Genomic DNA, 16,394 nt, shown 5'->3' with positions numbered 1-16,394 from the left:
GGGAAAGAAATAGTCAACAGGCCAGCTCCGGGGAACAGCAAAAGAATAATGCGTGACTCGCCTTCCCTCTCCAGCCAGCCTTGTGATCTTCCCAAACCTGTCAGATTCACTAAAATGTAAGACCAAGCAGAACCCAAGAGGAAAGTGGGTGCCTTCTCCAAGAATCCCCAGCACCCCAACCACCACCAATACCTGAATTCCCTGAATGAGTCCAGCTCACTCTGCAAGGGGCCCCTCACGAACTCACTCAGGCATTCCACACCTACCAGCCACAGAGGAGCAGGACGAGCCGATGCCCTGCAGCGACCTGGCAATCAGCAGGAAGGCATAGCTGCTGGAGAAGGCAAACACTGCCGAGAGAGGGGGTCCAAGACCGCACATCAGTGCTGCTGGGACACAACCGTCCCAAACAGGAACGTTTCAGAAGCCCCCCTTAACCCAGTGGAGCATTTGCATGTTAGCCACCCTGTGCTTTTGTTCCGTAAAAAGCTATCAATTCCTTTCTGCAATTGTTGCCAATACACAAACCTCCCAGGCCATATACTTTTTTTTGAGATGGAGTCTTGCTCTGTCGCCCAGGCTGCAGTGCAGTGGTGCAATCTCGGCTTACTGCAACCTCCGTCTTCCAGGTTCAAGTGATTCTCCTGCCTCAGCCTCCCCAGTAGCTGGGACTATAGGTGCATGCCACCACACCTGGCTACCTTTTGTATTTTTAGTAGAGACGGGGTTTTGCCATGTTGGCCAGGTTGGTCTCGGACTCCTGACCTCAGATGATCCGCCCACCTCAGCCTCCCAAAGTGCTCGGATTACAGGCATGAGCCAACCACGACCCCCCCCGCCCCCCCGCCGTCCTTAGGTTGTATTGTTAATTCCCGGCTCATGGGCATCAATGCCCACCCTGATGAGACCCACACTCAGAAGGAAAACACCACACACTTACTAATTGTTGAGACAAACATGATGCAGAATCCCGCAAATATGGGAATTGGATAGCCAATTCTGCAAAACACAAACATCAGACAAATCTGGTGACTGCAGGCTATTTTTTTAAGGCTTTATATTGATTTTCGCCTGGCTACCCTTTGGGATCAGACAGATAAGTGTTTGGTGGACTTTTCTGAAAATTCATATACTCAGTGCTTCCTATGTGACCTTTTTGTGTTTGACTGTCTTGGAACGTGAATACATTTATGGACTGCCACTGTGAACAGAAATTTGTTTGGAATAAATGTTAACACAATATTGGCAAGTAACCCAGAACACATCCAAAATACACGGCCCCTATTTCTGTCATTTTTAAAAAATGATTCCTTTAATTATAGTCTTTGCTAAAGCTCTCCCAAAGGAGCCACTGCAATCAAATGATTCGGGTAAAAGGCCATCAAGTGATTCCACTGGCAGACTGCAGTATGTCTAAGAGGCATTAGGAAGCAAGATGTTAAGATCTGCCTTCCTGTTGACCCCATGAGGCCAACCCAGAAAGACAAAGTCTCATTTTCTGTGCAAAATTTCAAAATCCAAATTGCTCCGTGAGACCACTGCTCACCTAGGACTCTGGCGCCAGGTCAACAGGGCTGGTGGAAAGACCCTGGCATTCCCCTATGCCATGTCTGGCTGGACACATGACCCTGCCACTTAATCTAGGGAGGTCTCCTCTCAGTCCCTCGGAGAGACCACCGCCCACCTCCCAGGACTGGAGTACAGAAAGAGATATGGATGTTAAACTGTTAACACCAGTGCCTAGAGCATAGAAGGTGCCTAAGAAATGTCATCTCCTCCCTCATTCTCTTTCTTCTTTGTCCTCTGTTTCTGCTGGATTAAGTAGACAGCTGGGTCCCTGCTCTGTGGGTGGGGCATGAGGGTACAGGCAGCTTCCCAGCCCCTCTGCCTTGAGAGGAAGCCAACAGTGGCTGAGCTCTTGCCCAATTGAAGGTTTGCTCCAACCCAGAAGAGCCTGAAACATCTCTAAGTCTCTTCTGTCTCTAGCTCTGGACCCTCAGGAACCTGGAGAGGAATGAAATGAATCCAGGAAGGCAGAAGGGCCAAGCATCCTGAGCTCTGGCAACAGCCTGGAAGGGTTCTTCCATTCCAGGCTTTAATAAAAAATTGTAATCGGCTGAGCATGATGGCTCATGCCTGTAATCCTGGCACTTTGGGAGGCCGAGGTGGGCGGATCACCTGAGCTCAGGAGTTCAAGACCAGCCTGGGCAACATGGCAAAACCCTGTCTGTACTAAAAAAAAAAAAAAAAAAAAAAAAAAAAATACAAAAAATGAGTCAGGCATAGTAGTGCACACCTGTAATCCCAACTACTTGGGAGGCTGAGGCACGAGAATTGCTTAAACCTAGAAGGCAGAGGATGTAGTGCGCTGAGATCATGCCACTGCACTCCAGCCTGGGTGACAGAGCGAGATTCTGTCTCAAAAGTAAATAAATAAATAAAAAATAATCATAGCGCCTTCATTTAAAGTTTACACTCAGTTCTCCAAGCATTTACACCCACCAGATTTAGTCATGATTTAATAAGGGCCCTATTTCACCTCCCTATGTTACAGATGAGGAAACTGAGGCATGATATCTGTCATTACTTATCAGATGTCATCAGACTAATTTCGCCTGGGCCATTCCCACATGGCTTTTCCTTGTAAATTTTACCACCTCCGCCAGTACCCAAACGGCATATATAGCTTTAAATAGAATCTTTCCAAAAGTTCTCTTGACCATATTCAAATATTTTTTAACTGCTTCACCTGTATCCAGAAACCAAATACCAAAAATACAGAGAGTAACTCACAAGCATGACAGATTCCCAGACAGTCAGTCCCCTCCCACAAACCATGCAAAGATTCCCCTGCTGTGAACAGAGATGAGCTTGTAATTCACAAAGTGGGGCCCCAAGCAAATTGGGTAAACCAGAGAAGATGCCAGGATTCTGACCTGCAGTTCAGATGGCCATCGGGTGACAGCTTCTTCTGTCTCAGCCCACCCAGAGCTGATTCTCTGTACCCCTTATTCATGTGGACAAAAGAAACCCAACACCGGGGGCTCACACGGCACTGCAGGATACTGAATCAGGAAACGTCCAGGAGGCTCAGAGAGGAGAACTCACAGGCAATTTATTTTCAGCAACTACAGTTTGTCCCATGAAAGAACGGGCATATGACAATCTTCCGGGCTGTCCTGGAATAAACACAGGCTTCTCCCTCTGTTCAATATATATTTGGAAAATCTAGTTGTTGAAGTACCAATACGTATCAAAGCTATTGGAATTAGGGGCTTCACTCTTGTTTCACCAGTTCTTCATTTTGGCTATTTATAAGGCTCTAATATGGAACCCTTCAGGCTGCAGGGACATCCCTGAAGGCAAATAAGACATCTGTGGCCCTTTCCCAGACTGTAGGCAGAAACACTGGGTGGTTTCAGGACAAAACTCAATAAAATGTGGCAACCCTTGTCTGTGGCCCCCAAACCACCAGCCATACTGTGCCCACTGTTCAGTCCAGCCAGTATTCCAGGTAACCCATCAGGGCACAGCTGTGGTGGGCTGGAAGCCACTGAGGTCCCTCCCTACCTGAAGACTCAGACATTCCCACGACTGTAGGCAGGGAACCAGCATGCTGGGTGGCCTGAGATTCCAAGGGAGGGTAGCTGGTTTTATCCATTTTTCAGAGGATCAACACTGAGGCTCGGGGAGGTGAATTACTTGCCCCAAATTCAAGGCTACGGGCATACCCTGAGTGTGTTAACATGTGCTAGGCCCTGCTGATGTGCACCTGGGTGGGGACGCTGGAGCACATGGGATGGAGAGTGCACAGTTTCACTGAAAACCACAGCGTTTGTGCCTACAGAGGGTTCTTTTTACCATTTGAGGTACTGTGTTTTCTTTAGAAACACTGCAGCTACTGTTTTTCTTTTTAATTTTCTTTGGGATTTTAACAATGCACGTATGGAATAAACGAATATCACAGCTAGAAGGAAACTCAAGGGCTAGCCAGTCCAAACCCTCACCTTAGATGAGAAAGCTGAGGTTCAGAGACAGAGTGGCTCACCCATGGCTGCAGAGCAAGCCAATGGCTTCAGATACAACCAGGCTCATGTTGCCGCCTCCTCAGTACCGGACACACCTGTGCCTGCACTTTCAACACAGGCCAAGCCACTGCATGGGCTGCTCAGTGGTAAGCGCTGGGCATCATTTTTCCCCAGAGCTCGGCTTCAAGGCAAAGAAGACTCCCTGGGAAGCTCCTGGGTCTCCGTTCTCAAACTCTTCTGGCCCCTCGGGCACCCACCATAGAAGGAGAGTCGTCCAGCGTCCCTAGTCATTGAGTGGTGGGCAGAAGGACCAAACCCTTTCTGCTTCCCCACAGTATCTCCTAAACAGACAGAAACTCAACTGACATTAGTCACAATCTGTGTCTGAGTTGCCCCCCTTGTCTCAATTCAGGGCCTTCTCAATTAAAGTATTGCTAAGCAGAGCCAGATCTGATTCAGCAAACCTTTAGCCAAATGTCATACTGGCCCACGGTCATCCTCTACAGAGCATCACGAAGCAGTTAATCCAATTTGAGTAAGACTAAAAATCACATAATGAATCCCTAGAAAAACATGTAAAACAATAAAAGTTATGTTAATTATATATACTTAGTCATTGGAGAAACCCCATCTGTCCCTAAATGGTCAATGAAGACAATACTTCTCTAGTGTTAATAATTAGCTTATCCTTGCCATAGAGACTAATGGAAGCTCTCTTCTCATGATTGCTAAAACCACAGTTTCCTCTACCGTGGTAAATTACAAGAAGCATACAGACTACAGAGCCCCGAAGGGTGCAAACTATCACCAGATGCAACGAGAGACAACAGCTCCCTTCCAGTGATCCCTACACACTCCTAAAAGGTGTGCAGTAAATGAATGTCAGTAAATGGAATGATATTTTCAATTTGCCTGGATATAGTAGGAGGTTTGTCAATCATTTAGTAAATAAAATTCTTCGATTCCGCTTGTCAAAATTCTTAGGTTCTGCTTGTCTTTTTCAGCTACCAGAGAATTCCAGGGGGCACGGACTTCTCACTTTCCTGGGCGTGAGCCCTGTTCTCTGACACATAGCTTAACAGAGCTTTTGCTTCTCCTAGGAATGTTCTAATTCCACAGCCAGTTTCCTCTGATTTCAGAAGCAAAGACTCATCAAGCCCTCCCTACCATCCTAACCACATGCAGGATGGGAGATCTCTTCTCAGAACAGCCGGTTTCCCTGTCCATAGAGAAGCTGAAAAGGTCACTGCTTGTTCCTACACAGCCCACTTCAGACCCACTGGCTGAAGCTAGCAAAAAAATAAAATAAAACCATGGTAGATTTCGTAGAGATTTCATGCCCTGTGGCTTCCTCCTTGTCGTTCAGATGTTAGCTAAGATTTGCAAGCAAAAAGAACTGCTTTCAAATATACTAAGTAACTATGGAAATAAATTAAGCCATTGACGCTGGCTTGATAAAAAGCAGATCACTGAGACAATGACAAGCTAAGAAGGAAGCAAGGGAAACGGTCCCCAGCAATGAAGTTAACTCTTTCCCAAGCCAGTCGTTTGGTGTGGAATATCTTTTGGTTCTGAAGATGCAACTATTATTTCAACCTTATGCTAAGCAAGACCACAATGCCATATCGTTACCTGACTGAGGGAAGAGAGAAATGTAAACGTGTTGTCCCATTGTTCATGTGCCTGGAACTTTCCTCTTATGGACATATATATCTAAAATTTGCTTCTTAGACCAAATGATGACCAAGTATCACTAGTATAATTTCTGGTACCACCTGCACACAACTGCAATCATGAAATGAATAGTTCAGCCAAAATTATAAAATAGGAGGCAAGAGGTTCCAACATGGAAATCAGGTCAATCCAGCAACCTCAGGCTTTCTTGGAAAGTGTGCTATTGGCCAGGTCATCACTACACACACCCAAATCAAAGGTTTTTGCCACCTAACTGGTCATATATTTTCAGCAGAAATACAGGATCTGAATAACAAATGAAACAGGAAGAATGTGCATCCTATTAGCAGTTAAATGAACCCAAGAATTGTTACTCTATATTTTCAGGGTTTGGTGTGAGAACTTATCGAATATTTAAAAAAAACAGACAGGGCCGGGCATGGTGGCTCACGCCTGTAATCCCAGCACTTTGAGAGGCTGAGGCAGGAGGATCACTTGAGGTCAGGAGTTCGAGATCAGCCTGGCCAAATGCTGAAACCCCATCTCTACTAAAATACAAAAAAAATTAGCCAGGCATGGTGGCATGTAGTCTCAGCTACTCAGGAGGCTGAGGCAGGAGAATTGCTTGAACCTGGGAGGTAGAGGTTGCAGTGAGCCGAGATAGCCCCACTGCACTCCAGCCTGGGCAATAGAGCAAGACCCTGTCTAAATAAATAAATAAATAAACAGGCGGCCTACATTTTGTGACTCCTACCCACAAAAGCCACACACATGGCACCATCACGACTGTGAATAGAGGATTCCAGTTATGGTGTGGTGTGGTGTAGAATGTCTCGATTCAGAGTGGGTCCCACTTCAGTTAAAACAAGCAGCTTTGGAAAAGAATAGCTCTGCCCAGCCTGACTACAGGAAGCTTTCCCCACACATCTTTAGGGATGCACGAGGCTGGACCAGTTCACATCAGGGACTGGAAAAAGACTGAATATTTCAGGGACCAGGGAGGTTCCATGTCCACAGGAATCAGGCTGATCTTTTCTAAACTCTCTGCTCATTGATTAAAAGTAGCAAAATCAGCAACTCACTGGGTCTCCAGCAGTTCTGCCTGGTACAACCAGGAAGAGCCCAAGTCAGTGCAAGAAAGACAGATTTTGAGCTGCATTCTTTATTTCTAGTAGCTAAAGGTACAAGCTGTATAATTGTAAGCAGGTGGGAAGAACAGGAAGCGGGGAAGAACAAAGCTTGAAATGGGACAGTCGGAACATGTGGCTACAGTCCTGCCACTGTTGTGGTAAATGCTTTCTCCTCCTGAACTGCAAACTCCTTTGCCTATAAAATGCTAGGACTGGCCCAAAAGCTTTCAGGAAAAGTCTCTGCAAGCTCTGATGCTCCATATTTTTAACTACTCTTTAATCAGAAACATATTAACCAATTTTAAAAAGCCTTTAAACACATTTGTTTACAACACTGAAGACTTGAGTCATACATCTTGCTCATGGAGGATGTGATTGGCACAGTTTACATCAAAAGACTGTTTGCAATGGCTCACAAGTTAACTCCTTGAAGACAATTAAAGGCAAATGGAATGCACATTTGTCCCTTCTCTGAATCCATCTGAACTGCGGTGGGAAGCAGAATCTTGGAGTGTCCAGAAGAGCTGCCCAGTCCCCAAATTCATATCTACTGGGCTTGGAAATTATGAGACAAATTACAAATCAGGATCACAATATGAAAATTTATTTGCTCGCTGAGGGCGGTGGCTCACGCCTGTAATCCCAGCACTTTGGGAGGCCGAGGTGGGCAGATCACCTGAGGTCAGGAGTTCGACACCAGCTTGGCCAACATGGTGAAACCTCGTCTCTACCAAAAAATACAAAAAATAGCCAGGCATAGTGGTGCACGCCTGTAATCCCAGCTACTGAGGAGACTGAGACATGTGAATTGCTTGAACCCAGGAGGTGGAGGTTGCAGTGAGCCAAGATCACACTGCTGCACTCCAGCCTGGGTGACAGAGCAAGACTCTATCTCAAAAAAAAAGAAAAAAAAATTTGTTTGTCCTTCCATATTACCAGGCAGCACTAGAAAATCATTTTCAAATTTGCTCGGTAGCTGGACAAAACAGTTGGGGATTACAATTTTGCTCTAGATAATTTCTAAAGTGGATTACTCACCATGAGAATAGACTAAATTTCACAAGTCACAAAATGGAAGATAATGTTTTTGAAGTCCCAAACATGAGCCTGGTGTGGCTACAGCCTCAAAGCCGTTGGAGTATTTAACAGGGGAAAGAGCTCACTGGTTTTAAACAAGCCTCTTCCCCATGGCATAAGCAAAGCATTAAAAATAAGAATGGGATTTTTAAAAAAGCTTTTCATTTGCCATTTGCGTTTGGAAGATTGGAGTACTCACATCATTTCAGCCGAATTTCTAAGTATTACACTGTACGGCTAGTAACGTTCCACCCAAGTGATTGGCAAGGTATTATTACGATAATGTCCTCAATTTTCACATACAATATTTGAGCTGTTTGCTTTCTCAGAATACAAAACCCTGAGCTATTTTCTGTAATTATACCAGATGCATTTTAAGAAGCATTCTTAGTCTTGAAAAAAGGAAAGAAAACAATCCTGCAACTACTGAGGTCGGTTTGGTTTTTCTCCTGAGAACAGAGGAGTCACTGAATGTCACCTTCTTAATGGGCTCACAGTCAGCCCTTCGCTGGGTTAATTTGCTTAGCATGTTTTATGTAGCAGCCTTAGAATATTGCTCTGCACAGACTAGAGGGCTGGACATGGCTTGAGATTGTTGAAATCAATTCAATGGCACCCTTCCATCCAGAAAATTCAACTGCAGATGTTGAGAATGTGCTCCTGTCCGACTCAAGCTCCATGTGTCCAAGGCAGCTTGTGCTGGCGGAAGGCCAGATCTGCCATCCCCTCCTTGAGCCCCAGCCACCACCCCAGGCTTCCTCACCTCTCGGTGCCCCTAACCCTAGAGTCGCACAGGGCTCTGCTCTCAGAGCTTGGTTGATTTAATGCTCTGCTGCCACCTTGAAGTGTTTCATAATGTTTGAATGTGGGGCACACATTTTCATTTTGCACCGAGACCCACAAATTATGCAGCCAGTCCTGCGCCCCACTCCCCACGCCAAAGGCAGAGGAAATGTGAAGTTCTCCCTGCTCCCTGCCCACCTACCCTGCTTAAAATAGTGCTTGATTCACTCATTTCTTTTTGGCTTTGGAATTTCTAATGGCTCCCAACTGCCCCACACAGAATCCCACTCCTTTCTCAGCCCAGCACTTGGGGCCTCTTACAGCCTAGCCCAGCCCTGGTTTCCCCTGCCTCCTTAGTTCCACCCTCTCCTCGCCACCATCTCTTCCATCTCTAGTCTAGTCTTTGTTCCTGCTTCTGGGCCTGGTCTGCAGGTAGGACTCTGGGCACACCCCTCCCCACCATTTCTGGTGTTTTGTAACTTTCACCTAGGTAGCTACACTGCGCACTTGGCAGCCCACCACCAACACTTAACTGTACCAGCTCCCACTCCTTGCACTGACACCTTGGGGGCCTGCCTCCTCCTCTCAGCTGCAAGGCCCTTGTCCTGAGCTTTGAGCCCCCACGGACCAGGCAGAACTGGTCCACCTCAGCTACAGAAGAACAAACACTTCACCAACAATGGAGAAGTAAACAGTTATTCCAAACAATGTGGGTTCAAAAAAATCTAGAACAGCCTGATTCATCTGAAGCTAGTTTGGGCAGCTTGGATTATCCAGACAACAGCCTCAGTTCTCTTCCTTTCATGCACGTGGACGTGGCTACGTAGCCAGCAGAAGGGAAGAACACAGCCCATGACCTCGGCATCAACTCGGAGCTCCATCTGCGCACCAGTGCGTCCAACCTTTTCCCACACTCCCTACCTGGTATCTGTGAGAGGCTTTAACATGCCAGTTCCAAAAGAAGACACCTTGGCTCTCTACAGAGAAGTGCATGGCCTGAGGTAGGAGATAAGAGGAGGCCACATGGCTCATAAAATAGGATGACAGCCATGGTGGCTGTAGAGTTCCTGCTGCCAAGGGCGATTCTGACAAATGCACTTACGAAACCTGGCATTTAGACAGGCCAAAGTCCTCCCACTTGGTGGAAGAGGTCCTCTTTATTCTGTCTTCTTTAATATTTTCTTACTTGTTGAGCAACAGAAGGGAGAATAGAATAGGAAATTGTGGTTATCTGGGAACAGAGACATAGGGGAAGGGGACTGGGTTTTCCCCAGCTCACCCACCATGGATTTTCCAGACTCTCACCAATGAGTAAGAAGCAGAATTCCAGGAAGGACATAAGCTAGGACTGATACAAATATCAAACTCTTTGACTAAAGTAGTCTGCCCTACCTGTTGGTCAGTAGTCCTATGAAAGGGTTGGTGATGAGCTGGACGGTGGCTTTCGAGGCAAACAACAGACCAACTTGCACGTTTTCATTCAGGAGGTCTTTGTCTTCACTGGGACAGTCGGAAGGAACAGCGGACGCGTTGGTCACCATGTGCTGTGTGGCGGTCTGATGAAGTGTCAGGTCTCTGGTAGCATTCCCGGTGACCATAGTCGAGTTATCATAATAGGAGAAGATGCTCTGGAAGCTGTCTGAGATGGAGGCAGTGTGCACTGGCCTGGCCGTCTGGATTTCTGTAGCATTCTTCTCATGCTTAATGCTGTACAGATAACTTGGGATGATGGGGACTGGGGATAAGAGCAGAATGGCAAGGTGGTGATCACACTGAAACCCTCTCCAGGAAAAAAGCCAGCAAAAAACTATGGTTGTGTCGGCAGGGAGCAGTGGCTCACACCTGTAATTCCAGGACTTTGGGAAGCTGAGGCAGGTGGATCACCTGAGGTCAGGAGTTCGAGACCAGGCTGGCCAACATGGAGAAACCCTCTCTCTACTAAAAATACAAAAATTAGCTGGGCGTGGTGGCACCCACCTGTAATCCCAGCTCCTTTGGAGGCTGAGAAAGGAGGATCGCTTGAACCTGGGAGGTGGAAGTTGCAGTGAGCAAAGATTGCACCACTGCACTCCAGCCTGGGTGACAGAGTGAGACTCTGTCTCAAACAAACAAAACAACAATAACAACAACAAAACTATGGTTGTGTCAAATGCCAGAAGAGGTCCAGAGGGTGACAGGTCTACCCCAAAACAGGAGCCCTGTGCCATATGTCTATAACGACATTGGAGCAAGTTCACTTTACTTAGCTCACTAGAAAGAACCATGCCCCCAACGGCCCTGAGAACTGTCTCCTCTCAAAAGGCAGCTGCTGTGCTGAACTGACTGGTCCCAGAGATTCTGTCATTTGTGGGTTTCTTCCACATTGTTCCTTCAAGGAATATTTCAGAAAAGCAAAATGTGGCCTGACGTTAAGAGAGTGCTGACCTGGAGTCAACCAGTGCTTCTAAGAAAGAGAGGCTCAAAAGACTTTCAAATGAATGAATCAAGGAAACAGAAAACTACACTTCATTATGTGTCTTAGAAAAAAATTAACCTGCAGGAAGTAATAACTTGGAAATTCTGCAACAGGCCCACTTCATCCTTCTATTATGAGTGGGAATCTGTAATTTTTCCTACAACTTGTAAGATTTAAGAATTCCTAAGGCTTTCACAAGGAAAAAGCAAAACTGAAACAGGCCAGGCACGGTGGCTCAGGCCTGTAATCCCAGCATTTTGGGAGGTCGAGGCGGGTAGATCACCTGAGGTCAGGAGTTCAAGACCAGCCTGGCCAACATGGCAAAATCCTGTCTCTAATAAAAATACAAAAATTAGCCAGCTTTGGTGGGGCATGCCGGTAACCCAGCTACTCGGGAGGCTAATGCAGGAGAATCACTTGAACCCGGGAGGTGGAGGTTGCAGTGAGCCAAGACTGTGCCACTGCCCTCCAGCCTGGGCAACAGAGTGAGACTCCATTTCAAAAAAACAAACAAAAACCAAAATAAAAAGCAACAACAAAAAATACAAATTAAATTGTGAAACATATAATCGAAGCTGTGAGCACATGTGTCCAATGGAGCATTCGAGCCGAAGCAGAACTAATGCCGTTGGTACTGAACAGGGATGAGCTCCACGGCTCTGATAACTCCTCGAGATGAAACCTATCAGATGCTCTGAAAACTGCTGTGAGAAAACCTGCAAATGGAGAGAAAGGAAACAGCTCCCACCACTTACAGTCTAAATGAGTCGTGATTTTTTTTTCATTCATTAAAAACTGGGATTTTTTTTTTTAAGGAAATGCATGCCAAATACTTCTCTGTTAATGGGCCTAATTAAGGGACCTGGATTTCGATTATTTAATTTTTCAAAATTCCACTATAGGAAAAATAATAGAACCAAGATTGTTCAAATTGTTCTTGCAATGGTTCCTGAAATATTTCCATCTCAAGTCATTCACTAATACAGTATATCTAAATGTCTTGTTTTTGGAGTAAGGGATCGAAACTTGCTCTTTTAGGTACTACACCAAATTACTAACCTGCCTTTTCGAGTAGCCCAATAATTATTCTAACACGTAATTTTGAACTTTAGGAATTTCTCTTTTGGAACAGAAATCTTTTTCATCGCAGTGAAAGCAGGCAAGAGGATGCGGGAAATTATCAGGGGGAAACATAAGTTCTGGGTCTTATCGGATGTCACAGTTTTTGACCCGAGCATCAGGAAAGCGAAGCCACACAACGCGGCTCCTCCTAGCCCCGGCGCGGCAGCCTGGAGGGGATGTCTTTTTTGCAAAGCGAGTTCTCCAACTTTCCCGGGCCTTGGCGGAGCTCCGGGACCGCGCAGGGGTAAGTGGAGTGCCGGGGAAGGGGCGCTGGGGCTGGGGTGCCGGGGCAGGGGTGCCCTGTCCGCACGTACCCACGACAGTGAGCAGCATGTTGTCCAGCAGCAGCGCCAGGAACACGATGAACAGGATGAGCTTCCGCGAGCGGCGGCTCTCCTGCAGCCAGCGGACCAGCGCCAGCTCGCTCAGGGCCATGGCTCCGGGGCTCCGCTGCGGGCGCGGTGCGCGGTGAGGACCCAAGGCGGCCGTGGACCCCCCATTCTCCCGTCCCCCAGGCCGCGGAAGGGCGGGTCAGGGAGCCGCGCGCACCGGCATCCGGGGACACCCCCGGGCGCCCCAGCCTCGGCTCACCTGCCTCGAGCGCGTCCCCACGAGAGCCCGCGCTCCCTGGAAAGAGCGCCCGCGAGCGCCGTCGGGGACCCAATCTGGAGACCCAACCTAGAACCCCCAGGACGCTGCCCTGATCCCCGCCGCCCCCAACTGTGCCACCTCCCAAACTGCACGCTCGGCCCCGTGCACCTTGCGCCCTGCGCCCTGCGCCCCGGCTGCCCCGGGGTCCCCGCAGCCCCGCCCGCGTAGCTCTGGGGGCCTCCCTGCCTCCCTGCCTCCCCCGGGCCCGCTCCCCTCCGGCACCGCGCCCTGCGAGCAGGGAACCGGGGCCGTGTTACCTCGGGGTCGCTTGCGATGCCTGCCCGGGTCCTCCGTGCCCGCGCCAACGCCCGCACCGCAGTGGGCTCCGTCAGTCCGGGCGGCTCCGGGTCGCAGTCTCCGCCCCAGCGCCCCGCCGCCGCCGCTCAGTTTACCCCGTCCGGCTCTGACGTCACGGCCGGAGGGAGCGGGGGCGGGGGGCTGGGGCGCCCCGGCCTCCGCCCGCCCGCGCCGTCGCTGCGCAGGAGGGGCTGCCGCCTCCCTGTCCCCGCCTCGGCCGCGGCCGCGCCTCTTCCCCGGACCCAGCGCGTGGCCGAGTGCCTTGGGGACCCAGGCCTGGGGAAGAGGCAGGGGCGCAGAGGGAAAGAGGTCAGAGAGCCTGGACGAAGAGTGAAGGGCCAGGGACCAAGGCGAGGAGGCACGGACCAGGGCTTTCTTGTGGCTCCAAGTGGTGGCTCGAGCTGCTTTGAATAAATCACGTGGCTCTTTGAGCCTCAGTGTCCCTGAAATGGGCCGTGAGGACGGGAATGATGGCCGCGGGGTGAGATCGCCAGGGGTGACAGGTGCTGGGAGCCAGGGACAGGCTTCCCTTTCCTGAAGAAGCCACCCTTTGCACCCACCATCCCCTCCCCTCTCCGACCTCTGCAGCCCGATGCGGGGTGCCACTCGGAGGAGCCTTTGAGCCTTGGGCATCCTCAAGCTGGTGACTTGGAAACGGGGGGGGGAAGGGGACACTTTTCAGTGTCGCCCTATGGTGGGAGTTGGGGAGGTGAGGGTCCCAGGTCTCAGAAAGTGGGAGCAGTGGGTTTGGGCCTCTGGGGCCACCTGAGCAGGGGACCCTGGAGGCTAGGTGAGTACACCTGGCCTCAGAGAAAGGGCTAGGGGGCGGGCTGTGGGCGGGGCAGCAGGCCTAGGCCCTGTGTCCTGTACTCTCTCCCCACCATGCTGTGCCTGGGCGTCTGGGTGAGAGGTGGTTCCTAGAGCCAGGGGCCTGCGTGTGGCTGGTGCAGAGCTGTCATCCTCACTGCTAAGGGCTAAGAGCCTGCCTTTGATTTCCAGGTCCCTTTTATAAGCAAAGGAGAAACAAACAGATGCCCTCTGACATCGCTGGAGCTCTGCAGGCCCTCCGAGGGGACCGTGGGAGCAAGAGCTGTTTTCTTGAAAAGCTACCTAGAATAAATGTTACCCTGTCACAGTCTCTTAGCAGAAGAGTGGGCTTGTTTTATTAATGTTAGCTTGTTGACAGCAGGAGGCCACTGAGAACAGCAGTGTGATGTGTGGCTGCCCCCGCTCTCTCCACCTCCCTACTCCCTTGCAGAGACCCCCTGTGCTTCTCATTGCTACCCCATGTGTGAGAAGAGATGGTTGAATAGGTAAGTAGGTCAGGAACATGGGTCTCCAGGATGTCACAGGATGTGCACAACTTAAACATTAAACAGGGAGGACAGAAGGAAAACCACTTAGGAGGAGGAAGCAGATGGCAGAGAGCCGTTTAAGATGGCAGGAGGGTATCACTCAGGGAGTGCCCCAGAGTGCTTGCTCTGGAGTTTCAGAACCCAAGGATGCAGACTCTACCCCAGGGACCACATGGGGACAGAGAGGCATTATGGTAAAGGGTGCCTGCCAGGATGCCCAGGTCCCAGTCTGCTACTTCCTTGACTGGTGGCCTTGGGCTGGTTATGTATCCTCTTTGTGGCTTAGTTTCGCCATCTCTGGAATGGGGATACTCACTGGACCTACTGCAGCGTGGTTGTGAGAATTCCAGGGGAATGCATAGGCAGCTCTTAGCACAGTGCCTGGCACAAAGTGAGAGCTCCGTAAGTGCCGGCCCCTCATTCATGCGCTGAATATGTGTTGAGCTCTTACTACGTGCCAGGCACTATGGTTAATGCTGGGGAGACAGTAAAGCCTAGACAAATCCCTGCTGACATTCTGACCTGATAGCAGCATCATAGCAGTGAACACTGGAAGCCACACCAAACTCCAGCCCAGCCAGCTGGATGTAGATGGCTCCAGGGACAATGCCAGCCCGGCGTTCCCGCCTCCGGATCACTGTCACCACCCCTAGAGCACTATGGCCTATAACAGACTTTTTGTTGAAACCCCCTAAAAAATGTTTAACAATATGTTTGCCTTACACATTTTCAAGTTGGCATCTAAAATGAGTTTTTTAATCATATATTTAAATAGGGTATATTGTATTTATTGACCTTTATGTATAAAATTATTATCTCTCTCTTTTAAATATACCCAAAGGAATTTGTATAAGAATACAAAACTGCCATGTTATACTTAAGAATATAAACAAGTATCCCTTTAACAGTCAAAATATTTACATTGTGTTCTTTACCCCTTTTAAGTATGTTTCCATTCCGTTTTCCAACAGAATTGTATCCTACCCTAATGCTTTTATTGTTTAAATTCTGTATTCATCACCTATCTATTATGTGAACCACAATAAATATGTGAATATGCATTAGCTTTTTAAAATTTTCTACACGTGGACATAAAGATGGCAACAACAGACCCTGGTGGGGACTACTAAAGGGGAAAGGGAGGGAGGGGGGAAAAGGTTGAAAAACTAACTCTTGGGTACTATGCTCACTACCAGGGGGACAGGATCAGTCATACCCCACACCTCAACATCACTCAATATACCAGTGTAACAACCCTGCACATGTACCCCCTGAATCCAAAACAAAAGTTGAAAGTATAAAAAAAAGTTTAGGCACAGTGACTCATGCCTGTAATCCCAGCATTTTGGTAGGCTGAGGTGGGAGGATCTCTTGAGGCCAGGAGTTTGAGACCAGCCTGGGCAAGATAGTGAGACCCTCTACAAAAAAGTTTAAAATTTAGTTGAGCATCGTGGTACACACGTGGGGTCCCAGTTACTTGGAAGGCTGGGGTGGGAGGATCACTTGAGCCCAGGAAGTCAAGGCTGCAGTGAGCCATGATCACACCACTGCACTCTAGCCTGGGCAACAGAGCAAGACCCTGCCTCAAAAATTAATTAATGATTAATTAATAAGGCTCTAAAATTCTCTTTAGGATTATGTGATTATAACAATGATTAATGGTATTTAAGTGATCAAGACATCATACACAAATATGTATTCTGATAAATAATTATTAAACATAAAAAGGAAAATTGTCTTAAAAGTGCATTACTTAAGGGATGGATAGAGAGGGGATTTTTGGAGTCTTGCTGAAAGAGACACCAAAAGTGTCTCTGTTTGG

The 16,394-nt window shown here is 48.4% G+C and overlaps 1 protein-coding gene and 1 long non-coding RNA gene across 3 annotated transcripts in view; one reads left to right on the top strand and one right to left on the bottom strand.

The window, feature by feature from the left end:
- SLC18A2 (solute carrier family 18 member A2) overlaps positions 1 to 13,284 on the bottom strand; it is a 38,317-nt gene extending 25,033 nt beyond the window's left edge. Inside the window, exons 1-5 of the mRNA NM_003054.6 lie at positions 13,178 to 13,284; positions 12,584 to 12,719; positions 10,085 to 10,427; positions 941 to 999; positions 267 to 350 (exon numbers count right to left, since the gene is read on the bottom strand). Coding sequence (NP_003045.2) covers positions 267 to 350; positions 941 to 999; positions 10,085 to 10,427; positions 12,584 to 12,704 — 607 coding nt within the window. The 5' untranslated portion in view covers positions 12,705 to 12,719; positions 13,178 to 13,284. The remainder of the gene's footprint in view (positions 1 to 266; positions 351 to 940; positions 1,000 to 10,084; positions 10,428 to 12,583; positions 12,720 to 13,177) is intronic.
- SLC18A2-AS1 (SLC18A2 antisense RNA 1) lies at positions 12,401 to 15,633 on the top strand. 2 transcript variants are annotated; one of them, NR_184310.1, is made up of 3 exons: positions 12,401 to 12,513; positions 12,615 to 12,737; positions 14,217 to 15,633. It is a non-coding gene; the product is annotated as an SLC18A2 antisense RNA 1 (long non-coding RNA). The 2 variants fall into 2 exon arrangements; NR_184309.1 differs by lacking the exon at positions 12,615 to 12,737.
- Positions 15,634 to 16,394: the final 761 nt, after the last annotated feature.

Source organism: Homo sapiens, chromosome 10 (genome assembly GCF_000001405.40).
Source record: "Homo sapiens chromosome 10, GRCh38.p14 Primary Assembly".
Classification (NCBI taxonomy): domain Eukaryota; kingdom Metazoa; phylum Chordata; class Mammalia; order Primates; family Hominidae; genus Homo; species Homo sapiens.
Note: the sequence above shows the minus strand (reverse complement) of the source record. Positions and strands in the feature narration are given on the sequence as shown.